This window comes from Homo sapiens, chromosome 1 (genome assembly GCF_000001405.40).
Source record: "Homo sapiens chromosome 1, GRCh38.p14 Primary Assembly".
In the NCBI taxonomy this organism is placed as follows: Eukaryota; Metazoa; Chordata; class Mammalia; order Primates; family Hominidae; genus Homo; species Homo sapiens.
In genome coordinates, this window is record NC_000001.11 from 25385315 (window position 1) to 25412367 (window position 27053).

General features: G+C 47.9%; 1 protein-coding gene and 1 pseudogene across 11 annotated transcripts in view; one reads left to right on the forward strand and one right to left on the reverse strand.

The window, feature by feature from the left end:
• RHCE (Rh blood group CcEe antigens) overlaps nt 1-27053 on the reverse strand; it is a 67955-nt gene that overhangs the window by 23066 nt on the left and 17836 nt on the right. For 7 of the 11 annotated variants that reach the window (XM_011541889.4, XM_047427028.1, XM_005245957.5 and 4 more), the window contains 6 exon segments: nt 23369-23555; nt 17282-17432; nt 6680-6827; nt 5435-5601; nt 3662-3799; nt 397-530 (listed from right to left, as the gene is read on the reverse strand). In XM_011541889.4, the coding sequence (XP_011540191.2) occupies nt 397-530; nt 3662-3799; nt 5435-5601; nt 6680-6827; nt 17282-17432; nt 23369-23555 (925 nt within the window). 11 annotated transcript variants of the gene reach the window in all.
• SDHDP7 (succinate dehydrogenase complex subunit D pseudogene 7) lies at nt 13381-14690 on the forward strand (annotated as a pseudogene).

Sequence of the window (27053 nt, forward strand, 5' to 3'; positions counted from 1 at the left end):
GGCGACTGAGGCTGAGAAAGGTTAAGCCGCATGCCCAGCTAGTACGCAGTGGGAGCACGTCCACAGCAAAGCTCTGCATCACGACCTGAACCACAGTCTCAATTGGCTTGGGCCTATTTGACCTGCTCTGTGTTTGTGGGGTCACAGAAGATTTCGTGTCTTTGGTCTATACCTAGGTGGTCCTATTTGGAAAGAAGAGGTGGCCTGGAGAGGTGATAAATCCATCCAAGGTAGGGGCTGGACATAATTTCTGAATAAATCAGCCAACAAATATTCACCGAAGCCTACTGAGCACCTGGCCCCGAGTGCACACGCCCCAGCTAAGGACTCTGCACACATTTCTTCCTGAGTTGGAGGGGAGTGTTAAGGGGATGGGGGGTAAGCCCAGTGACCCACATGCCATTGCCGTTCCAGACAGTATGAAGCACCAGCAGCACAATGTAGGTGATCTCTCCAAGCAGACCCAGCAAGCTGAAGATGGAGTGCATGACGGAGATGTGGTGAATCCCCAGCACTCGGTTACAACACACCTGTGGACAAGTGTTATTATAAGCAGATTGGCAGGTGAGACCCATATTCCCTACCCACCCCTTTCACACACCCTTGGTATCCGGCGCCACCAAATGGGGATGGGCACTAAGGCTCACCTCAAAGAAGCCCTTCTCAGACTTGAATGTGTACTCACATCAATGGGGAGTTTGTTGAAATGAAGAGCTGGCTTTAGTGGATGTGGGGTGGGGTCTAAGAGCATTTCTAACAAGGTCCCAGGTGATGCCAATGCTGCTCATCTACGGACCACACTATGAGTAGCAAGGGTCTAGTGTAGGCACTATTCACAATTTCAGCTGATAATTCCTTGTGATGGGGGCTGCCCTGTGCACTGTAGGATGTTAAGCATCATTCCTGGTCTCTCCCCACGAGCTGCCAGTAGCAGCCCTCACCCCACTGTGTCAACCAAGAACGCCTCCAGACATTGTCAGATGTCCCCTGGGGGGTGACCAAGACCCACTGGTCTAGCCCAAATTTAAGCACCATCCCAAAGACAACACAGCTGGTTAGAAAGAAAGCATGAGGCCACACCTCTAGATCCCTACTCAGTAATCCTTCCTCCCCATCACTCAGCCTCCCACACAGCCATGAGCCAGCAGATGTGGACACATATGCAAATTCAGTCAGGCTGGTTCCTTCCTTAGGATCCCCATTAGTCTTCAGAATAAAAATCCAGGTCGGGCACGGTGGCTCATGCCTGTAATCCCAGCACTTTGGGAGGCCAACGTGGGTGGATCACCTGAAGTCAAGAGTTCAAGACCAGCATGGCCAACATGGCGAAACCCCGTCTCTACTAAAAACACAAAAAATTAGCTGGGCGTGGTGGAGGGCGCCTGTAGTCCCAGCTACTCAGGAGGCTGAGGCAGGAGAATGGTGTGAACCCGGGAGGCAGAGCTTGCAGTAAGCCAAGATGGCGCCACTGCACTCCAGCCTGGGCAAAAGAGCGAGACACCGTCTCAACAACAACAACAACAACAAAACACACACACACACACACACACACACACACACACACAAATTAGCCAGGCATGGTGGTGGGCACCTGTAATCCCAGCTACTCAGGAGGCTGAGGTAGGAGAATCACTTGAACCCAGGAGGTGGAGGTTGCAGTGAGCTGAGATTGCACCACTGCACTCCAGCCTGGGTGACAGAACGAGACTCTGTCTCAATAAATAAAAAAATAAGTAAATAAAAATCCAGACCCCTCAACTAGCCCAGGAAGTGTGCCTGAGCACCTCCCATCTTTCAGGGATCTGGGTTCACCATGCTCCTGGGTGGACCCTATGCCTTCAGAATGTCTGTTTCCTGGTTGGGCCACACACTCTTCTTACCAATAAGCTTTCATACACACTGTGCCTTCTGCCTGGAATACATTCCCCATGTCTCTGCCTGGCTAATACTACTTCTCTGTCAACACTTGGCTGTCAACCGTTTCCTCTGCTCCAGGAAGCATTTCCGGACCCATCCCAGGCTAGCTCAGATGTGCCCTGTAGCTGTTCTCACACTGTATTCTGTGTATCCATTTCGCTCACTAAACTATAGCTTGAAAAGCAAGATGAGTGTTAAAACGTATGTGTTGAATGAAGGAATGATGAATGAATGAATATATGAATGAATGAGGGAATCATTTTTGAATAGTCCTGCCAGTGATGAAGTCAAGGAAACAAGCTCAGGGAATGCGATGGGCGCTGAGCCTGATGGTAACTTGCTATGTGTTCTTTTTTCTGCCCTTCCTCCTTTCATTTCAGGGTTTCAAAGCCAGAGGAGATAAAAGAAATTTGTTCCCCTTGCAAAGATGAAAATCAGATTTGCCCTGGTTTTGGTCAATCGAAGTATTGATACGTTTTTCCTTATTTATTTTATTTTATTTTTTAATGACCTCCAGTTCCATCCATGTTGCTGCAAATGACAGGATTTCATTCTTTTTATGGCTAAATAATATTCCACTCTGTATATAAAACACTTTTTTTTTTTTAAGACAGAGTCTTGTTCTGTCGCCCAGGCTGGAGTGCAGTGGCGCAATTTCGGCTCACTGCAAGCTCTGTCTCCCAGGTTCAAGTGATTCTCGCATCTCAGCCTCCTGAGTAGCTAAGATGACAGGTGCCCGCCACCACGCCTGGCTAATTTTTGTACTTTTAGTAGAGATGGTTTCACCATGTTGGCCAGGCTGGTCTTGAACTCCTGACCTCAGGCCATCTGCCCGCCTCGGCCTCCCAAAGCGCGTGAGCCACTGCGCCCAGCCAGTTTTTCCTAATTTTAGGTTGGAATGCACTCCCTGAATAGCCCCTGTTCATCCAAATCCAGCCTTCGAAAATCTACTCCTTTTTCCTCCATCAAGTCTTCAAACCCATGAAGATTTGTTGTCCCTAAATATTTCTCTTAGAGAAGCACATTATAACCAATTGGCTATAATGAAGTATTCTGGAACGATCAGGATTTGCTGAGTATTGGAGAAAGATCCATCCACTTAGAAGAAGAATTAAACAATCAGAAGTGGACACGACCTGGACCATCAGCCCAGCACTCCCTCTTCTGGGTGCTGCTCCTCTCACATCATCCACGTGGTTCCCCGGCAGCAGCCACATATGCACGATGTGCCCACCCCCAGCTGAAGACAACATTATCCAAGTTAAACCAAAGAGCCCCTTCTCCAGAGAATTTGGGATTGGGGCCAAGAGATTCCATCCACCAGGCTGCTTTCTTGAAGCAAAAGACTACACCCCACAATGTGGGGTGAAAGAGGAGGAAGCAGGTCTATAGAGTAAGAATAAAGCAGATATTCAGGAAAAGCAAAGAAAGAAGTAAAACAGGGGCTTCTGGGCTCCCCACAACACTCCAGTCCCTGTCCTTGAGTTCTGTGACACCCCTGTAGCCTGGTAACAAATTCTCCCCAGTGCCCAAGCAAGCTCAAATGGGTTCTGCCACCTGCTCCCCAGCATCTTAACAAATGTGCCACCGAGCCAGGATGGATCCCTCGCTAGGCGTTGAAGCCAATAAGAGAATGCACCAACACCTGCCTAATGCAGCTGTGCACTGCACAGTGGCCCATCAGGTCCCAGCGTCCTGCTGGCCTTCAGCCAAAGCAGAGAGCATTAGTTGTCTAGTTTCTTACCGGCAGGCACTTGGCTCCCCCGATGGAGATCAGCCCAGCCACAAGACCCAGCACCATGGCAAGCCACGGAGAAGGGATCAGGTGACACGAGGTACCCACAGCCACGCCTCCTGCCAACACCGCACTGTGCACATAAGTCTGCAAAGAAATAGCGTGTGGGTAAAGGAAGCAAGGTAGAGAGAGAACACCATCTTGCTGCAAGTGACCAGCACGCTGGGAACAAGGCAACCCTGTAACATCCTCCCTGCTTTGCTGATCCTGAAACCACCTCTCCCCTGTGTTGGGGCTACGTGTCCTTCATCAGTGGACACGGTGGGCCAGCTCACTACTGCCTCTTAGGCTCAGGGCACAGTTACCCTGATTGTGCAGCATTTAGGGAATGAGCTGGGAAGTCCAGGTGCTCAGCATCCTAGGCACCCATCACACTCATTAGTGGTGTGTCCCTGGACAGCGGGAAGAATGGGTTTTTGTTTTATTTTTTAGAGACAGGGTCTTGCTATGTTGCCTGGGCTGGTCTTGAACTCCTGGCCTCAACCAATCCTCTTGCCTCAGCTTTCCAAAATATTGGGATTACAGGTGTGAGCCACTGCACCTGGCCTAGAAGAATGGGGTTTTGGATGTACCTTCTTCATAAGGTTATTGTAAGGATTAAATGAGTTTCCACATATAAAGCTCTTAGTCCAGTGTCTGGCATAGAACATGAATAAATGCCCAATAGACATAAATCATTGTTATTGTTTTTATTATTATTATTGGCTACTTGGTGCCTGTGCCACCCTGTGTGACTGGTCCCAGTTCCAATAAGCTGGGCCTTGTTCCTGGGTTATAGCTCTGCTATGTCCTTCACTACTCCAGAACCGGAGCCTTGCCTTGCTCTTATCTGACACCCTCAGCTCTCACCTAGGTTTAGCCTCTGAGCTTCCCTGAGCTGACACCCACTCCTGCCTTGCTAGGTGTCTTAGACTTTCTGTCACCATGGAACTCATGGCCACTCACTTCCTCTTAGCACTGAATTCTGCTGTGAAGCTGTCATCTGTGGCCACATTCTTTCCACTCCAGCCCCCCCAGTGCCTCCCACCCGAGCCCCACCACTGGTCTGTCCAGACTTCCCTCCGACACCACCAGCTGGACCCCCTGCCCCCATCATCATGAGAACTTGTTTTGTCTCCCCTCTCACCCATCTCTGCCCACAAGACTCACACACACCATTGTCTCTCTGTACTAATAGCAGCAGCTAATGTTTGCCTACCATTTACTCCCCGTTAAGCACTTTACATGCACCATCTCTTAATTCTCACTTTACAGATGAGGCCACTGAGACTCAAAACGTTGAAGTGGCTTGACCAGAGCCACATGGCTAGTGTCACATACTTCTCTACTTCTGATTCTGATGGTTCCATTCTTGAAATTTGTTGGGGGGAAGAGAGAGGCTGGCTAATTCTAGTCTAGTCTGTTGCTGCTGACTCTCGCTCATGGTGACTGACTTGAGCAACTAGCAGAAACGGGGTTCAAACTCAGGTCTGTTTCATGTTAGCATGGATGGATTTAATCACTCCCCCCAGAAAGCCTTTGATCACTGGACAGTCTCCTGAGTCCCAGGCCCCCTGTGACCACCCAGCATTCTTCCTAGAGCTCCACTGTAGAGGCAGGCACAGCTCCACCACCCGGCATGCCCTCTCCCAACCCACGCTGGCCCTGGGGTGGGGAGGGGCATAAATATGTGTGCTAGTCCTGTTAGACCCAAGTGCTGCCCAAGGGCAGCGCCCTGCTCACCATGCTGATCTTCCTTTGGGGGTGAGCCAAGGATGACCCTGAGATGGCTGTCACCACACTGACTGCTAGAGCATAGTAGGTGTTGAACATGGCATTCTTCCTTTGGATTGGACTTCTCAGCAGAGCAGAGTTGACACTTGGCCAGAACATCCACAAGAAGAGGGCGCCTGGGGGCCAGAGAGGGTGGTTGGCCAGAATCACACTCCTGCTCCAAAGGTCTGAGCCTCGAGGGGTTTTGGATGAGAATCCTAGGGCTGGAGAGTCTCAGCCTTGTCACTTAGAGTTAGATGGGGAAGTCACGTCTCCCCTCCGAGCTCTCAAGCTGATACCAGCTAACCACATTTTACAGACAAGGAAACAAAGGCCAAGAGGGTTGAAATCTGCATACCCCAGGCCTCCTGAACCTGCTCTGTGATGGTCAAATGCTTATTTTAATTTTTTTTTCTTTTTAATTGAGATGGACTCTTGCTCTGTTGCCCAGGCTGGAGTGCAGTGGCGCGATCTTGGCTCACTGCAACCTCCACCACCTGGATTCAAAAGATTCTCCTGCCTCAGCCTCCCAAGTAGCTGGGATTACAGGCGTGCACCACCATGCCCAGCTGATTTGTTTGTATTTTTAGTAGAGATGGGGTTTCGCCCTGTTGGCCAGGCTGGTCTCGAACTCCTGACCTCAGGTGATCCACCCACCTTGGCCTCCCAAAGTGCTGGGATTACAGGCTTGAGCCACCACGCCTGGCCCAAACGCTTATTTTTTTTTTTTTAATGAATGTGCTGCTTTAACTTGACCCCGTGGCCTGATAGTCCTTTGCCTACTATCAAGCTCACTGCCCGATTTTCTATTAGCCTCTCCCAGCAGTCTAAGTTCATCATTTTCCCAGTAGATTTTCAAAGTACAACATTATTACTATTCCCACCCTTGTTCCTTCACTCCTGGGCCCTACCTTCTTCACTTGTCCGTTTCCCTCCTTTCAGTTGAAAACAAAGGGATTGGATAAACTTATTGAAACTCACACATAATGAGTCTCTCCTTTCTAGTGGATATTAATGAAGAGAGGTCCCTAAAAGGAAGTGCTTAATTCAAAGGTATGAATTTAGCAAACACTACTCAAAGAAGTGAATCATGATGGAAGGGCTTCAGACACCCAGGGGAAGTTGGTAAAGGAGGGAGATTTTTTCAGCCAGAGCCTTTTCTGAGCCATTCTGCTCAGCCCAAGTATGAGACCACTCACCCCACCTTGTCCTTACCCAGCATGGCAGACAAACTGGGTATCGTTGCTCTCTGATCATTATCCTCCGTTCCCTTGGGTAGAGGCTTTGGCAGGCACCAGGCCACAGTCAGCCCAAAATAGGCTGCGAACACGTAGAAGTGCCTCAGGTTCATGTGGTAGTCTGTCTGCAATAAAACCCAGTAAGAGCAGTGAGTGTCGGCATCCTCTGCCCAGGGGAAAGCCCTGATGGTCCTTGGAGAAAGTTCAGAGCTTCACTTAGGAGGTGTGACTTGAAGCCACGAGACTGGTGTTCAGAGCTTACCCAGCCCAACCCAGCAGGCTTTGCCCAGGCTGGAGTGCAATGGCACGATCTCGGCTCACTGGAACATTTGCCTCCCAGGTTCACGCGATTCTCCTGCCTCAGCTTCCCTAGTAGCTGGGATTACAGGCATGCGCCACTACGCTGGGCTAATTTTGTATTTTTAGTAGAGATGGGGTTTCACCGTGTTTGCCAGGCTGGTCTCAAACTCCTGACCTCAGGCGATCCACCCGCCTCGGCCTCCCAAAGTGCTGGGATTACAGGCATGAGCCACTGTGCCCGGCCTCTTTTTTTTTTTTTTTTTTTTTTTTTTGAGACAGAGTCTTGCTCCATTGCTCAAGCTGGAGTGCAGTGGTGTGGCCACAGCTCACTGTAGTCTCCAACTCCCAGGCTCAAGCAATCCTCCCACCTCAGCCTCCTAAGTAGCTGGGATTACAGGAGTGCACAACCATGCCTGGCCAATTTTTAAATTTTGTGTAAAGATGGAATCTCACTATGTTGCTCAGGCTGGTCTCGAACTCCTGGGCTCAAGAGATCCTTCCCTCCCAAAGTGCTGAGATTACAGGCATGAGCCACCACGCCCGGCCTATCAGTAGCTCTTATATGCTTTTGACCAAGGTTCACTTAGGTGTGGCAAAAACCCACATGGACACGCACTTCACTGATTCCTACTTCTCAGCGGAATTTTAACTCTGCAGGAGTGATGAGTGATATAAATTTTGCAACATGAAGCAACCAGACTTCTTGTAATACCAAACTAAGGTCTTCGGGAGATTCTAGATATATTCTAATTTTGCATCATGACTATCACATTTTAGTAATGCTTCATAACTTATTTAGTGGGCTACTGGAGAAAGCTGTCAGCTGTGCTTTCTAAAAATACCCAGAATTGGCAGGATTTTTAGCACCATTTCCCACTGACCCCATCTTGGTTTAAGCCACCATCACCGCTACCCCAAATTGTTACAGTAACCTCCTAACTGGTCTCCCCATTTCCACCCTTGTCTTCCTGCGGACTGTTCTCCACACAGCAGACAGAGTGACCCTGTTAAAATGCAAGTCAGGCCGGGCGTGGTGGCTCAAGCCTGTAATCTCAGCACTTTGGGAGGCTGAGGTGGGTGGATCACCTGAGGTCAGGAGTTCGATACCAGCCTGGCCAACATGGCAAAACCCTGTCTCTACTAAAAATACAAAAATTAGCCAGGCGTGGTGATGCTTGCTTGTAATCCCATCTACCTGGGAGGCTGAGGCAGGAGATTCACTGGAACCTGGGAGGCAGAGGCTGTAGTGAGCTGAGATGGCGCCACTGCACTCCAGCTTCGGCGACAGAGTGAGACTGCGTCAAATAAATAAATAAAATAAAATGCAAGTCAGATCATGTTACTCCTCTGCTCAGAAGCCTCCAGCGGCTCCCATGTCACTCAAAGTCAAGGTCCAGGTTCTTGCCACGACCCTGCAGGATCCACTCTCACCTGACCTCTCGGGCGTCACCTCCTATTGCACTCCTCCACTTGCTCATCCTCAAACCCACTAGCGTGTTCCCACTTTGGGTCATTCAGCTGCCTGAAATGCTGACCCCCAGCCAGGGTGTAACAAGGGCAGGATGGAGGGAGTAGTCCACCCTGGGTGCAAGCAATCGGGGTGCCTTGTCTGCAGAGGGTGTCTAACAATTCTAAAGCCAACTAAAAAGTCTGTCTGCTTTTTATTTTTATTTATTTATTTATTTATTTTTGAGACGGAGTCTCGCTCTGTCGCCAGGCTGGAGTGCAGTGGTGCCATCTTGGCTCACTGCAAACTTCACCCACTGGGTTCAAGCGATTCTCCTGCTTCAGCCTCCCATGTAGCTGGGATTACAGGCGCCCACCACTGTGCCCGGCTAATTTTTGTATTTTTAGTAGAGACGGGGTTTCACCATGTTCCCCAGCCTGGTCTCGAACTCCTGACCTCAAGTGATCCATCCGCCTTGGCCTCCCAAAGCGCTGGGATTACAGGCATGAGCCACCGCACCCAGCCTATTTTTTTTTTTATCACCATGTGCTGACAATTCTAAACAGCATGGGTGGTAAATAGCCCTCCCAGCACCCTGCCATTGTTCTGCCGCTGTTCTCAGGTACCCATGTGGCTTGTGCACTCGTTACCTTCAGGTCTGTACTCAAAAAAAATCACCCCCTTGATGAGATGAAGCTGCCCCTGGCCACCCCCTCAAACAGTTGTCCTCTCTCCCCAACTTTTCGTGTTTCTTTTCTCCATTTTATTTTTCTCTGTGGTACTTACCACTCTCTAACATGCTATATCTTTTGCCTATTTTATTGCTTATTGGCAGTCTTTCCTTCTGGAACAGATGTTCCACGAGAGTTGTATTTTCCACTGCCACAAGAGTGCCTGGTATATAGTAAATACCAAATAAATATCTGTGAAGTGAACAAATGATGGTAAAAAGCCCTCAGTCATACATAAAGAGGAAAGTCTATGCAGTTTCCTGATAAGAACTGAAAAGCGGGCTTGCGTTTTTCATCTCTTTGAGCTCCACCAGGAAGGACTTCAGAAAGAACACTTGGGGATTCTTGGCCTGGAATATTCATTTCTTGAGCTGGTGCACTGAAATGACTCTGGTCCCTGGCTCTGGTTCCCCCGAGCCCTCCTGCTGAAGAAACCCAGGCTGAATTGAAGTTTTGAGGAAAATGAATACTGAAAATCAGTGCTAAGCCCTCCTCTAGACCAGTTAAGCTAGCAAGTCAAAGATGCAGAGAAGAGAGATGATGTTATATCAATGCAGTCTTTTAAAGCAATCGTTATGAAGACTGCAACAAAGCAGGAAGAGGTTCGGGCTCACAGGGAGTGTTCTGCCTCTGAAATTTACTCCTCTTCTTGACAGCCATGTTTTTACTGTGTGAACTATTTCCCATGCCAGCTGTAGCTGCTTGGACCAGAGTGGAAAAATGACCCAGGGGACTGATCAGATTCTCTCTCCCTGGACTACAGAATTGAGACTAACTGAGAGAAAAGAGTTGTTTTCTGCAGGATCTGGGACATAGAAATGCAGGAACAAGTGGAGGTGGATGGGTGGGTGGAGGGGACACGTTTTTCGCTAAAGAGAAAGCTGGTGTACAGAGATGTTAGATGTACAGAGAGAATCAGAGCCAAAAGATGGAGAGCACAGACTACCTGGGATCTCAGTGGCTTCTCATAGTCAGTTCTAGTGCCCTCCTGAGTCTGGCAGCACTTCCTGCCCTTGGAGGTTCTTTTTGTTTGTTTGTTTTTTAAAACTGTCCATACTACACAGATACACCTTTATGGTTCTTACACTGAATTCTCTTCATTCCACCTAAGAAAGCTCTGGTGACATTTTCTTCCTGGGAATCAGGGAGTTCTCATTAATCCTTATATTAAGCAGAGAGAAAAGGCAGAAAATGGAAGTGTGTAAACCGGAATCCAGGAGTCCATGGTAATATAAACAAATACATAGATGAGTGGATGAACAGAGAAGCGAAAGCTTTTCCTTACAGGAGAATGCCAACTATTGAAGGAAAGATGGAATTAGAAAACCACCATTGGCAATTATTATAGTACTAATTTATTCAGGGAAGAATCAATGAACACTAAAATCAGTGGGTGAAAGTTGGATGATCAACAGGATTTCTATAGGAAATTATCTCCTCACAAGATGTTTATTAATTACAAAGGGGAAAATAGTAACTTTGCAGTGGAAGATCCTGGCAGGTACCATCTTAACCCAATGATCACAGTTAACACACCCAGTAATGGGGCAAATTGATAGCATGTCTTCTGATATGATATACTAAGAAGGGCACACACGGCTCTTGGAGAATTCCTACCAAAAATGCATACCCACAATCTAATCATGAGGAACAGCAGACAAACCCACATTCTACAAAAGAACTGGCTCGAAACTTCAAAACATGTCAAGGTCATGAAAGATAAAGAAAGATGAAGAAACTGTTCCAGATTGATGGAATTTAATAAGACATGAGAACTAAATGCAAGATGTAATCCTCGACCACAAAAAATATGTATTTTTTTCTAGAAAGGATATTATTGAAAAAATTGGTGAAATGAGAATAAGGTAATCATAATATATCAATGTCAATTTCTCATTTTTGTTAACTGAACAATGGTTATGTAAGAGAATGTCCCCTTGTTTTAGGAAATTGTGTTAGTCTGTTTTCACACTGCTATAAAGATACTTCCTGAGACTGCGTAATTTATAAACAAAAGAGGCTGAATTGACTCACAGTTTGGCATGGCCGGAGAGGCCTCAGGAAACTTACAATCATGGTGGAAGGTGAAAGGGAAGCAAGGCACATCTTACGTGGTGGCAGGTGAGAGAGAGAGAGAAAGAGAGAGAGGAAGTGCCACACTTTCAAACCATCAGCTCTCCTGAAAACCCACTCACTGTCACAAGAACAGCATGGGGGAAACCACCCCTGTGATCCCATCACCTCCCACAAGGTCCTGCCCTCAACACGTGGAGATTACAATTCGAGATGAGATTGGAGGGGGATACAGAACCCAACTGCATCAGAAATATACACTGAGGCCGGTTATGGTGGCCCACGCCTGTAATCTCAGCAATTTGGGAGGCTGAGACAGGTGGATCAACTGAGGCCAGGAGCTCAAGACCAGCCTGGCCAATATGGTGAAACTCCATCTCTACTAAAAATACAAAAATTAACTGGGCATGGTGGCATGCCCCTAATCCCAGCTACTCGGGAGGGTGAGGCACAAGAATTGCTTGAATCCAGGAGGCGGAGGTTGCAGTGAGCCGAGATCACACCACTGCACTCCAGCCTGGGTGATGGAGCAAGACTCTGTCTCAAAAAAAAAAAAAAAAAAAAAAGAAATGTACACTGAAGTATTTAGGGGTTAAAGTCACATACACAGATGAAGACAACCAAAAATTAATAAATACAAACTTCCAGGCTGGGCGCGGTGGCTCACACCTCTAATCCCAGCACTTTGGGAGGCCAAGGCGGGTGGATCACCTGAGGTCAGGAGTTTGAGACCAGCCTGGCCAACATGGCAAAACTCCGTCTCTACTAAAAATACAAAAGTAAGCCAGGCGTGGTGGTGTGTGCCTGTAATCTCAGCTACTCGGGAAGCTGAGACAGGAGAATCACTTGAACCTGGAAGGCAGAGGTTGCAGTGAGCCGAGATTGCAACATTGCCATCCAGCCTGGGTGACAACAGCGAAACTCCATCTGAAAAAAAAAAAAAAAACTTCCCATATTCCCTCCCAGACCATTGTTCTTTTTTCCACCCCAAACATCCCCAGCTCCCTTGAAGAAGATGCCATCACACTCTCCCTTTCTTGCTGCGGTCTCAGCCTCCTGGCCGCCCCTTGGTCACTGATGATGTCAGTTCCTGCCCTTCAGCCTTTCTCTCCATCATTCTTCCACAAATGATCTTAGTCCACCCAACTCCTTCCCTCTCGGCTCCTTGACCGCTCGTCTCTTTCCCTGCGTTACACTTCTGCCACCCACTGTCAAGCCTTAGACCTTGTCATTACCAGTAACTGTTGCCTCCGAAGCCTCAGTTTCAAGCATCGCACCTGATAACCACCACCACCTCCTATCTGTCCGGCTCACTTCCTTAAATTGCCTCCCTTCAGCAGCTCCAATCAACGCAGCCTGAGAACAATGGTGATGATGAAAATAACAGCACTGCCGCAACACTTACCCCATGCCAGGCACTGTCCTAAATGCTTTAGAACAGTATTCAAAATTGAACAAGTGTTCGGTCACTTGTTCAATCCTCACAACAGCCCTAGGAAGTAGCCTTATTCTTATCCCCATTCTATAGATAGGGAAACTGAGGCACAGAGAGGTCAACGAAGGGGCCCAAATGGATTCAGCTAGTGTGGGTTGAGCTGAGATGTGTACCCAGGCTGCCAGGCTGGGCTCCCCATTTTCACTCTCTCTCCTTTCTTAACCAGCTCAGATTTTGTGGGCTACTGTTATACTTCCTCCTTTGCAAACAGCCCCATCTCTGGTCTCCCTTGGGCTTTGGGCTCACTCTGGGCAGCACTCCAGGCTGGGCAAGTTCAACTCTGCTTCTTCCACACCTGCCTGGAGCAGCTGCACACAGCCCTGGTCACTGATGCACTTTCCACCAACTACAAGCCCTAGGGACCCTGGTGCCAGCCTGCAGTCCCGCTGCACCCCTGCAGCCCTCTCACTCTCTTCCACTCCCACAGATGACCATACCACACTTTCCCTCTCCGCAAACCCCATCCCTCCTTCCCACCCTCACATGAGGCTGATGACGGTGCCTCTTGTTTCTCTGAGAAAATACAAGGAATTAGTAAGGCATTTTCTCCTCTCCCTGCAGGAGACTGAACCTGTGGCACCCGCCACCAAATCTGCCGGCCTATTCACAGTCCCTGCCATTTCTCTCGTTAAGATGAACTCTCCGCCTCAGGAACGAGATGGCGGTTCTCTGGAGGCTGAGTGCCGTTTGCGGTGCCCAAGGAGGCCGAGCTCTGTTGCTGCGAACTCCAGTGGTCAGACCTGCTCATATCTCAGCATTTCTTCAGGACCGACCTATCCCAGAATGGTGTGGAGTGCAGCACATACACTTGTCACCGAGCCACCATTCTGGCTCCAAGGCTGCATCTCTCCACTGGACTAGCGAGAGGGTTGTCAGTGTTTTGCTCCCGGGTCTGCTTCCGGCTGCTTATTTGAATCCTTGCTCTGCGACGGACTATTCCCTGGCTGCAGCCCTCACTCTTCATGGTCACTGGGGCCTTGGACAAGTTGTTACTGACTATGTTCATGGGGATGCCTCGCAGAAAGCTGCCAAGGCAGGGCTTTTGGCATTTTCAGCTTTAACCTTTGCTGGGCTTTGCTATTTCAACTATCACGATGTGGGCATCTGCAAAGCTGTTGCCATGCTGTGGAAGCTCTGACCTTTTTGACTTCCTACTTTGAAGAATTGATGTATGCCTCTTTGCCTCTGCTTTGTCATGCCATTAAGCTCACAATAAGGAAGAAATAACAGATAAGTCCATTGGTGGACAGCCTTCTTCTCTTAATCACAAGATTATTTTCAGAATTTAACTTTGAGGAAAAGGTTTGAGAGGAATTATATTTAAGTTGTGAGACTGAGTTCTGTATTCTGGTGAGTTAATGGGGTTGCCTCCCAGCTTCTTATAAGACTCACAGTATAACTAAACATGATATATCAGCTTTTGCCTTTTAATTTCTCAATCTCTTAAAGAGAATCCAGCTTTAGTATGATTAGCATATGATCAAACTTCCATATTTGCCTTGGGAATAATGGACTAAGGGAAATACTCTTAATTCATGAATAAAAACTTTGCAGAAAATTAGACAGTGTTTAATTTTCAAAAACTTCCCTCTCTAGTCGGTAGATACCACCTACCGATGGTTACATATACTAGGGAAATTTTAAAATTAGGAAATGCTGATATCTCATATTATAAATTTCTAAATCCTAGGAAGAAACGCTTGGAGTGCTTCTGAAGATACAGAAGTTCCATTTAAGGGCAAGTTTCCCCATAGACGTATCAAAATATTACCCATTGTAAACTGAGATTTAATTCTCAAATGTATTCTACTTGTTCTAAAACAATCTGTCCACAAATATAAAACTATAAGTAATAAATTGTTATTTTCGCACAATGGGAATCTCTAATGTGAAAATGTATTCTGTGAAAATAAATTTTTAAATAAAATGTTGTATAATAATAATAATTTTAAAAAAGATGAACTGTCCCTGCATCGGCCTAAAGGTATCAGTGCTCAAAATCCCACTCCTGCTTTCCAACTCAAAGGCTTGACTCTTGCAGTTCATCTCTCTTCTGTATCATCAGATTTTTCCTCTCTATCGGATTATTGCCCTCCTGCTTCTCCTCCATTTCTCTGTTCCCCTTTAGAGCAAAGTCCTTGGCAGGGCTGCCCCTGCATGCTGTCTCCACTTTCTCATCTCCTGCTCTTGAATCAGTCAAGCCAGGCTTTTGCCTTCATCCTCCTCTACAACCATGCATGCCAAGGTCTCCTTGTCAAATCCAATGGCTACTTCCCAGCCCTCATCCGACTTGACCTCTCAGCAGCATTCAGCCCACCTGGGGCCCTCTCTTTCCTTGCCTTCCAGGACCTCACGCTCTCCTGGGCTTCCTCCTGCCTCTCCAAGCACAATTCTGTCTCCTTTGCTGGCTCTTACACATGTCCCCCCTCTAAAATGCAGGGTGTTCTAGGACTCAGTCCTCAGACTTCTTCCCATCTCTCTTTATCCTCACTCCTGAGTGATCTCCTTGGGTCTCATGGCTTTAAACACCATCTGTATTGTAACAACTCCCAAATTTATATCCCTAGCCCTAACCTTTCCACTAAGCTTCAGACTTGTACATCTCCATTCAGTGTCTCCACTGGGATGTTTCATACACATCTCTACCCGCCCCAACCTTAACCCTAACGCTACCACATTCGACACTGAACTCTGGGTTTTCCCTCCCAGATCTATCCCACCCCAATGTTCCCCATCTCAGTAAATGGCACCAGCAGCTGCTGAGTTGTGCCAGATGAGAACCTTGAAGTCATCTTGACCCTCTCCCACCCCACGTGCAGTCTATCAGCAAATCCTGTCAATTCTGCTATTAAAATATAGTCAGGATCCAATCACTTCCCACCACCCTCACAGCTATTGTCCTAGTCTGAGTCTGGATGATGGCCATCACTGCTGCTCTGGTCTCCACCTGCTTCCTCTCTTGCCCCTTCAGTCTTTTCTGAACCCAGAAGCCAGAGTATCTTAAAACATAAGTCAGATCATAGCTCTCCTCTGCCCAACACTCCCTAGTTCTCCCTGTATTTCTCAGAGTAAATCCAAAGTCCTTTGGGATACTGAGGCACAGTAAAGGGGCTTCATGCTTTTTTTTGTAAACGTGCATCATTTCATGTGATTAATTCAATTACTCCCTCAAAACCCTATGTGGTAGTACTGCTACCCTCATATTACAGACGAAGAAACTAAAGCTCTAAGAGGTTAAATTGCCCAGAGTCACACAGGGATTTATGGCAGAGCTGGGATGCACACCCCAGCCTTTGACTCCAAGTCCAGTGCACTTTCTTCTAAGCCAGGCTGGAACTGTGGGTTCTCGCTTGGGTTCTGCCACTATCTTGCTATGTGATCTTGGGCAGTCCCTTCCCCTCTCCAGGCATCAGCCTTCTCACCTATGAGATGGGAAGGTTGGCTATGTCCTCACTCAGGGTCAGGGTTACAGCAGAGGAGCTGGGAGAGCCATTTGGATTGGCCTTACCTTCACAGCTGCCTTCAAACTTAGACTTTCGACAGGCTCTCCCAATGAGAGGACATGTGCAGTTACTGACACGCACTGACTGAAAGAAGATGCTGGCTGTACAAACTTGCTGGACCCACTGCTGGTGAGGCTCTGAGAATTAATTACTTTTATACAACCATAATTACATCATGAATAGCACAATCCTACAGGATTATACTGTAGTAGTTAAAGGCACTGGTTTGTTGTGTTTAAACATTTGCACAGACCACACTTTTGTAACCTCATTTGGGTATCTATCTATCTATCAATCTTTTCTTTTCTTTTTTCTTTTTTTTTTATTGGAGATGAAGTCTTGCTCTTGTCCCCCAGGCTGCAGTGCAATGGCGCGATCTCAGTTCACTGCAACCTCCACCCTCCGGGTTCAAGCGATTCTCTTGCCTCAGCCTCCTGAGTAGCTGGGATTACAGGCACCTGCCACCATGCGCAGCTAAATTTTGTATTTTTAGTAGAGATGAGGTTCCCCCATGTTGACCAGGCTGGTCTTGAACTCCTGACCTCAGGTGATCTGCCCTCCTTGGCCTCCCAAAGTGCTGGGATTACAGGTGTGAGCCACTGTACCCAGCCTGTCTGTCTGTCTGTCTGTCTGTCTGTCTGTCTATCTATCTATCTATCTATCTATCTATCTATCTATCCACCTACCTATTTATTTAGAGATGAGGTCTTGCTATATTGCCCAGGTTCATCTCTAACTCCTGGGCTCAAGCAATCCTTCCAACTCACACCTCAGCCTCCTGAGTAACTGACACTACAGGTGCATGCCACCACAACTGGATAATTTAGAAAAAATTACTTTTTAGAGATGAGGATCTTGCTATGATGCCCAGGCGGGTCTCAAACTCCTGGCCTCAAGTGATCTTCCCTCCTCAACCTCCCAAGTAGCTGGGATTACAGGTTGTCTTTATTTTTCAAAACCCCGGAAGCCCCACCAAATGGAGCTTTTGGCCCTTTTCTCCCAGGTCCCTCCTCCCAGCACCATGACTCACGTTGAAGATATTACTGATGACCATCCTCAGGGTGCCTAAAGCTGTCACCTCCACCAGCACCATCACCACCAACTGCGCCAAGTTGACCTTCCCCAAGACAGCACCCGCTGAGATCAGCACCGACATAGCACTCATGGTGGCCAGCCGAATACTGGGGGTGAGAAGGAGAGCCAGGATGACTGAGAAGGAAGGATGCCTCTCACTCATTCATTCATTCATTCATTCATTCAACAAACACTGTTGGGCACCTTACTTTCTGTGGAAATAGAAGACAAGATTTCTACCCACCTGGGCGCTGATGCTGCAGAGTGGAGTGACCATCTCTTCTCCCGTTAAGGTGGCCTCTGCACCCTGAGCCATGTGGTCTGGCAGATGACTTAACCACTCTGTGCCTCAGTGCCTTCATCTATGAGGCATTGATCTACACACACTCATCTGACTGAGGGTGATCGGGGTGACTGTTCCCTCAGGGGATCTGATAACTGGGATTCTGCCCAGTCTTCTTTTCTGCTGCCATCATTCGGATGCTCAACAGAGGGCACTCTTCCCCCGCAGGCCTGCCCACATCCAGTCACCCCATCCTCATCTGGGGCCACTGTCCCTTCTCTCCCTCTCCGTGGCAGTGGAAAGAAACTGGATTTGGAATCAGGACAAGCCCGGCTTCCAGTCCCAGCCTTGCCACTGGAGTGGCTATTTCATCTCACTGAGCCTATTTCTCCTTCTGCAAATTAAGAATGATGATCAAACGTATCCCATGTTGGTGTCCTGGGGATGTGAAGGAGTATTCTTCCTATCGGTGTGTCTAGCACCAAGACTGGCACAAAGAACCAACTCCTGAAAAGACACTAGCCTTATTAACACTATTACGATTCCTTCCTTCCCTTGACCAATGAGCATGCTCAGGAGGAGAAAATTATTTTGGTCTTGAAGGTTCTTATGATCCAAAAAAAAAAAAAATGTACTTATGATCTAGACAGGCTACATACACCATGAGCCTGTCAACTAAGAATATCTGTGATATCACAAGGCTAGTGGGGTTCATTGGAAGGAGAGGGTGATGCTGACTGGACTTATCAGGGAGGACTTCCTGGAGGAAGTGGTACTGAGCTGGACAATCCATGGACATCCAGTCTCCCCTGAGCAGCTTGCTCTGAGACTCCCTCCTCCCTCTGGGAGTTAATGATGATGATGCTACAACCACAGCAACAGTGATGATAATGATTTATTATAAGAGCATTTTGTAAAACAGGCTTGTAACAGCATCACCTCTTTTAAATTTTAACCCTATAAGGCTGGGCGCAGTGGCTCATGCCTGTACTCCCAGCACTTTGGGAGGCCAAGGCAGGTGGATCACTTGAGGCCAGGGGTTCAAGAGTGGCCTGGCCAACATGGTGAAACTCTGTCTCAACTAAAAATACAAAAATTACCCGGGCATGGTGGTGCATGCTTGTAATCCCAGCCACTCTCGAGGCTGAGGCATGGCAGTCGCTTGAACCCGGGAGGCAGAGGTTGCAGTCAGCCGAGATTGCACCACTGCACTCCAGCCTGGGCGACAGAGTAAGACTCTGTCTCACAAAAAAAAAAAAAAAAAAAAATTCACTCTCTGTAAAATCGTGCTAGCTCACCGTTCAGTATCCCCATTTTACAGAGGGTCACGTAGAGGATTAAAATGGACTTTTTGGAAACAGTCATGCCAGCTGATCACAAATGTGAGGTTCAAATCCAGCTGGCCTAGATCCAAAGCCTGTGCTCTGAAGTCTGGACTCAGCTTCCCCAGTGTTTGCTGCAGACTATGCCCGCTTAAGCCTCAAGGACTTTAGGGGAAGGTCATAAAAGGGCAAGGGCATGGGGAAGGAGTCTTACAGGGACCAGGAATTTAGAATAAGGGGTTATTCAATGTTCCATCGTGCCTGGACAGGTTATTCCTTTTAAGTGGGTGTTCATTTCATTGACAAAGGCTTAACTCAGGAGCGTGTGTGCCGGCGGCGGTATTTCATTCCTCAAGGGCCAGTTTGTGCTGAGGAGGTGCTAAGACAGTGATGTGCAGTGGTTAGGAGCGTGCTCTCAGGTCTAGGCTGCCTGGGCTGGAATCTTGACTCAGACACTTTCTGGCTGTGTGATCCTGGGCAACTTATTTAATCACTCTGTGCCTTGGTGCCTCCATTTATAAGGTGGACCCAATGCCTCTGGAGCCACGGTAAGGGCAAAGTGAGTTGATATACGTCAAGCACAATAAAGGAGTTGGTTATTGCTATTATCTTCTAGGGAGAGTCCTGCAGATTTCAAAATACATTAAAAATATCACACTTTTAAGGCCAGGAATGGTGGCTCACACCTGTAATCTTAGCACTTTGGGAGGCTGAGGTGGGAGGATTGCTTAAGGCCTGGAGTTTGAGACCAGCCTGGGCAACATAGTGAGACTCCATCTCTACAAAAAGCAAAAAAAAAAAAAAAAAAGCTAGGCGTGGTGGTGTGTGCCTGTGGTCTCAGCTACTCAGGAGGCTGTAATTCCAGTACTTTTCGGAGCCGAGGTGGGCAGATCACTTGAGCCCAGGAGTTTGAGACCAGCCTGAGCAACACAGTGAGGTCCTGTCTCTGCAGAAGACAGAAAAATCAGCTAGGCGTGGTGGTGTGCACCCATAGTCCCAGCTACTTAGGAGGCTGAGGCAGGAGGATCACCTGAACCCAGTGAGGCTGAGGCTGAGTGAGCCATGAACATGCCACTTCACTCCAGCCTGGACAACAGAGTGAGACCCTGTCTCAAACACAGTTTTAGGCCGGGCACAGTGGCTCACGCCTGTAATCCCAGTACTTTGGGAGGCCTAGGCGGGTGGATCACTTGAGGTCAGGAGTTCGAGACCAACCTGACCCACCTGGTGAAACCCCGTCTCTACTAAAAACACAAAAATTAGCCGGGCATGGTAGCAGGCGTCTGTAAAAAAATTTAACTCAGGAGGCTGAGGTGGGAGGATCACTTGAGCCCAGGAGGCAGAGGCTGCAGTGAGCTATGATTGTACCACTGCACTCCAGACTGGGCAACAGAGCAAGACCCTGTCTCTAAAAAAATAATAAATAAAAATTTAAAACATCCCACTTCAGGGTTCCATTTATTTTCATTTTTGTTCCAATAGCCATTTGCTAAGTTATCAGTATGTGAGGAAAACAAACAACAACGTTGAATAAGATAGGCCCCTCCCCTGAAGGGACTCAAAACAGAACCAAATCAGTCCCAAGTCAAGTGGCACAAGCTGGAGTGTTGCCAAGGGAGAGTACCCCGTCCCCAGGGGCAGGCCTGGGCACCACCCATCAGCACAGCCCTGACGGGAACCGGTCAGGAAGGAGCCAGTTTCAGCAGGGGTCACCCCTAGGGGGATCCAAGCAGTCAGGGGTGGAGCAAGGGAGTTCACTCAGGCTGCGAGTGACTTCTCTCCCTTCTCATCTTCCTGGATTGAGTCAAGAATGAACAGGTCCCTGTGGACATCAGATGAAGGGAGCAGCCCTAGACTGTGGGGCAGGAGGCTGAAGGCTGGTGTGACCTTAAGCTAAGGCAGCAACACCAAACCAGGGCCACCACCATTTGAATTCCCCCCAGGGTGCCCTTTGTCACTTTCCAGGTGGATGCAGTGTGTGTATGCGGGCGTGCGTGCGTGCGTGCGTGTGTGTGTGTGTGTGTGTGTGTGTATTGAATCCCGGTGGGAATTAACTCTAAGATGGTTTTTGTTTTGTTTTGTTTTTGAGACGGAGCCTCACTCTGTCGCCCAGGCTACAGTGCAATGGCGCGATCTCGGCTCACTATAGCCTCCGCCTCCCGGGTTCAAGTGATTCGCCTGCCTCAGCCTCCCAAGTAGCTGGGATTACAGGTGCCTGCCACAATGCCCAGCTAATTTTTGTGTTTTTAGTAGAGACAGGATTTCACCATGTTGCTCAGGTCGGTCTCGAACTCCTGACCTCAGGTAATCCATCTGTCTAGGCCTCCTAAAGTACTAGGATTACAGGCATGAACCACCGCGCCTGGCCTAAAACTGTTGTTTTTGGTTTTTTTTTTTTTGAGACAGAGTCTCGCTCTGTCGCCCAGGCTAGAGTGCAGTGGCACGATCTCGGCTCACTGCAAACTCCGCCTCCAAGGTTCACGCCATTCTCCTGCCTCAGCCTCCCGAGTGGCTGGGACTACAGGCGCCCGCCACCACGCCCAGCTAATTTTTTGTATGTTTAGTCGAGACAGGGTTTCTCCGAGTTAGCCAGGATGGTCTCCATCTCCTGACCTCATGATCTGCCCACCCCCACCTCCCAAAGTGCTGGGATTACAGGCATGAGCCACCGCGCCCGGCCCCTAAAACTGTTTTTTGAGACAGGGTCTCACTCTGTTGTCCAGGCTGGAGTAAAGTGGCACGATCATGGCTCACTCAGCCTCAGCCTCACTGGGTTCAGGTGATCCTCCTGCCTCAGCCTCCCAAGTAGCTGGGACTGTGGGTGCACACCACCACGCCTAGCTGATTTTTCTATTTTCTGCAGAGACAGGGTCTCACTGCGTTGCTCAGGCTGGTCTCAAACTCCTGGGCTCAAGTGATCTGCCCACCTCAGCTCCCAAAAGTACTGGGATTACAGGCGTGAACCACCATGCCCAGCCTCTAAACCTTTTAAAAAAGAAAAATACATACAGTTTTTTTCCTCTAGGGCCAGTCAGGAGCTGGCTAGACTGTGTTTCATGTTCTGACCACTCTGGAGCATGTGGAAAAGGTTATAAAAAAAAGTTAGAGCCATCTCCACCACTTAGCTGTGTGGCCCTAGGCAAGTGCCTTGCCCTCTCTGAGCTTCCACTTCCTTACCTGTATACCAGGTTAGATCCCTACCTGGAAGAGTTAAACAAAATAATATTTGTGGAGTGCTCAGCACAGTTCCTGGCTCATAGAGAAATGTTTAACAGCAGTGCCCAGAGGTTTAGCAGGGTCTTAGAAGGGGAGGCTGGAATGGCCTTGAGAGGCCTTGAGAGGTCCCTAAGATGCCTAGGATGACGTTTACCATCATCTGGGGAGCTGAGAGATTCAGAGGTTTGAACAAAACAAAACAATGTTTCAGGAAAAAATTTAGCCTAGTTCCTTCTATTAAGTGCCAATGCCCTTTTAAAATGTGTATAGCTTGATGTGTAATCATCACCCAGGTGAACACAGAGAACATTTTCTGCACCCCATGGGGCTATTTTGTGTTCCTTCCTAATCAATATCCACCTCCTGCCCAGGTAACCACTATTCTGACTTCTGGCACCATACATTAGTTGTGATGGTTCTTAGCATTTCACACAAAGGCATCTAAACAAAGCACAGGTAATTTAATGAAAATAAAGGCATGGCTATTTCTTGTCTAGTAGCTTTAGGGGGCTGAAAGTCCTTTCTTTTCAAGAGAATGTCTCTCAGGCTGGACGCGGTGGCTCATGCCTGTAATCCCAGCACTTTGGGAGGCCGAGGCAGGCCGGTCACCTGAGGTCAGGAGTTTGAGACTAGCCTGACCAACACAGAGAAACCCTATCTCTACTAAAAATACAAAATCAGCCAGGTGTGGTGGCACATGCCTATAATCCCAGCTACTCAGGAGGCTGAGGCAGGAGAATCGCTTGAACCCAGAAGGCTGAGGTTGTGGTGTGCCGAGATAGCGCCATTGCACTCCAGCCTGGGCAACAAAAGCGAAACTCCGTCTCAAAAAAGAAAAAAAAAAAATAGAATGTCTCTCTAGGTGTGGCATGTCTATTTCTCTCTGTCTAACGTGTTTCCTTCTTACGTTTTCCATAAACTTATACTGATTATGTAACTTTACAAAATCATAATCGACAATAACAGGAAAGAAAGGATGCAGGAGGAATGTAGGCCTGGATTCCTTGTGATACACAGAGTAGGGCTGTCCAGTAAAATACAGGATGCCCAGTTAAATTTGAATTTTAAACAATGAATAATCTTTTAGCATAAGGATGTCCTAAATATTGCACAGCACTGGTGCTAGACAGAGAGGGGGCAATATCCCAGATCTTCTGGAACCTGTCCTTTCGGGGTCCATTCCCTCTATGACCCAGAAGTGATCCAGCCACCATCCCAATACCTGAACAGTGTGATGACCACCTTCCCAGGAGGGAACTGGCTCAGGAAGCCGTCCAGCAGGATTGCCCACTGCACACCAAGCGCCAGCATGAAGAGGTTGAAGGCCACACTGCTCCAGCTGTGTCTCCGGAAATTTGAGGTGAGGAAGCCCAAGCCAAGGGCCGCCATCACGGTCAGATCTTGGCCGACTGCTCGGTGGGGAGATGGTGAGAAGGAGGAGGGGGAAGCAGACGAGATTTAGGGTGGTATGAAATTAGAGTCTTACTAAATGGCAGCTGGAAGGGGCATGCAAGATCGTTTACAAGTATTTGGTCAAGTTACTTTGCCTCTTTGAGCCTCAATGTTCTCAACTGAATAATGGGGATAACATAACATGCCGTGTGGGGATAAGGTAAGGATTAGAGGAGCTAAAGCTAATTAAGCACTTAGGGCAGGGCCTGGCCCATAATGAGTGCTCAGTAAATGTGGCAATTATTCTATTATTAAACCTAATAATAAGAACAAGTGTAAAGTACACGTGCTTGATGCACATGGACACTCAGTAAAGGTCATTGCTGCTGTTATTGCATATGAGGGCCAACCCCCTGGCTGGGCACATGAGAAAATAAAGCCACAGAAGCCAAGTGACTTGTCCCAGGACACACAGAAAAGAGAGGGCAGAGATAGGCCCAGTGCTCTTGTTGTTGGGAACCACATAATCTTCACAGCAAACCTCCCTCCCTTTGCCGCCTGCTGCGAGGGACCTGGTGAGCTGGCTGGCAGAAAACATCAGGGCCACCTGGGTAGCCCTCACCTTTCCCAGTCTCAGACCCTGAGCAGAGGCTGCTGTGGCAGGTGAGTGGAAGAGATGCACCTGAGGGCAGGGAGGGGCCCAGCAAAGCGGAGGGTGAGCACTTTGGTTTAATTCCAGTTTTGAAAAAGGGTTAGCAGCTTGAGCTCCAGAACGAGACAAATTTGGGTTCAAATCAAGACTGTGGCACTCTCTAACTGTGTGGTCTTGATCTAGTTACTTAACATCTCTGAGCTTTATAACAGCCTACATTTCCTAAGCGTTTACCATGTGCCTACGCTGTTTTAATCACTTTACATAGACTATCTTGTTTCGTTCTCACAACCACACTTTGACATGGGTGCTGTTACTGTCACCATTTTACAGATATGAAAACCAAGGCACAGAGGCGTTATGTAACTTGCCCCGGTGGGTAGAGCTAAGATTTTTTTTTTTTAATTTTGAGATAGAGTTTCACTCTTGTCACCCAGGCTGGAGTACAGTGGCGAGATCTTGGCTCACTGCAACCTCTGCCTCCTGGGTTCAAGTGATTCTCCTGCATCAGCCTCCCAAGTAGCTGGGATTACAGGTGCCCACCACCGTGCCCGGCTAATTTTTGTATTTTTAATAGAGAAGGGGTTTCACTATGTTGGCCAAGCTGGTCTCAAACTCCTGACCTCAAGTGATCTGCCCACCTCGGTTTCCCAAAGTGATGGGATTACAGACATGAGCCACAGGGCCTGGCCTACAGCCAAGATTTAAACCTAGATAATCTGCTGGAGCCTGTGCCTTGGACTACCACACCATCTGCCCTCCCTCTTCTTATCAATAATCACCAACTGTTTTCGCACATGAATAAATGACTGGAGAGAGAGAAATCTTGAAGAATTTTTTTTTTCCCATCATGAATATTGTCTCTAACTTTGGGAGATGTTTTACTTTTTTAGTTTTAGTGTTTAAATTTTCTGCAACCAGCATGTAGACAATTTTTTTTTTTTCGAGACAGAGTCTCTCTGTTACCCAGGTTGGAGTGCAGTGGTGCGATCTCGGTTTGCTGCAACCTCTGCCTCCCGGGTTCAAGTGATTCTTGTGCTTCAGCCTCCTGTGCTTCAGTGGGAACCACAGGCGCGCACCACCACGCCTGGCTAATTTTTGGCCAAGCTGGTCTCGAACTCCTGACCTCATGTAATCCACCCACCTCCGTCTCCCAAAGTGCTGGGATTACAGGCATGAGCCACCGTGCCCAGCCTAGACAATGTTTTTCGAAAAGGTGGAAGGGGAAGCATAGGTTTTGAGTTCACATAGCTCTGTTCGATCCCAGCTCTATCATTTCCTATTAGATTAAACCTCACTAAATTGCCACCAGTTGACTCTTTTGGACATATAAAAATACCAATTTAGGAGGATGAGGTGGGCAGATCATGAGGTCAGCAGTTCGAGACTAGCCTGGCCAACATGGTGAAACCCCGTCTCTACTAAAATTACAAAAAAATTAGCTGGATGTGGTGGCGGGCACCTGTAATCCCAGCTACTCGGGAGGCTGAGGCAGGAGAATCGCTTGAACCCAGGAGGCGGAGGTTGCAGTGAGCTGAGACCGCACCACTGCACTCCAGCCTGGGCGACACAGTGAGACTCTGTCTCAAAATAAATAAATAAATAAATAAATAAAATAAAATATCAATTTACGTGTTTCAACTTCATAGCCCTGTGGTCTTCTAAGTTGCTTACTTTCCTTATCAACAGAATAAGGGTAATTAGAGCCACCTGAGAGGTTTCTGGGACATCCGAAGGAAATAATGTTTAGTACAGTGCCTAGCACATGGAGAACACTCAATAAATAGTGGCTGTTCATCAACATCATCATGACAATCACAGCAATAGGAACTCACCTGCCACTGGTCTCCAGCCCTGGCTTTGATAACAATGAGAAGCTCTCATTACTGGAACTCTCCAAAGTCTCAGAAAAAGTCTTTGATTTATAAAGTACATTTAAATTCACTTCCATTGAAACGTACACACACCCAGGGTCTGCCAGAGAGGACAAGGGAGGACACTGACATTTCCAAATCAACCTGACACCACCAGGATATAGGAGACCCCCAAGGACCTCCACGGGACCTGGGGATTTGGGGCGTGGGTGAGAAGTGGGCATTAGGAAGGATTCAACTCTTTGCACTTCTTCTGACAGCAAGGAGGGAGGTGCAGGGAATGTTTCTATCTCCTGCTTGCATCCTTAGGAATGGGGGTGTGTGACCAGGGGACATTTTCTACAGGGGTTCCTCTTGGGATTACTCAAATTCCCTCAGGAGCCAAGCAGGAAATATGTATATGAAGGTGCAGTGCACATGTGGGAGCAGTGAGGCTTGTGTTCAGTTGGAGACTGCATGCCCCACTTCAGATATGCAAATCCAACCTTTTATTAAACACGATTGTTAAAGTGCATCTGCCATTTTGTAGCAATGCTATATGCATAGGGTCCAGACTTATTGAAGATTCCATGAGTAGAGCAATTCTTCCATTTTCCTCTCATTTTACAGAAGGGGACCAGAGAGAGCCTGTGAGGGGCGCTCATGACCGGGCCCAGAGGAGAATTGTACATTGTAAGGAAGACCTTCAGGAAAAGTTTATGAAAGCCCCACAACTTGGAGAAAGAAAATCTAACCTGGTAGTTCAGCAGTGAACTAACTACCAGGCCCCAAACATGCCGGCAGCAGAGCGCAGCTCTGAATGCCTGGAACTATGTCCTTGCACAGGCTAGGCTGTCTCTAGCTCTTTCTTCTCTCACCTCACTAAGCGATCTTAGGCAAGTCCATTACCCTCTTTAGGCCTCAGTTTCCCTGTCTGTAACACATAGGAGTTGGACTTGATACTCTCTAAGGCTTTTACAGCTCTGGAATATTCCAAAGAAGTTAGTGGA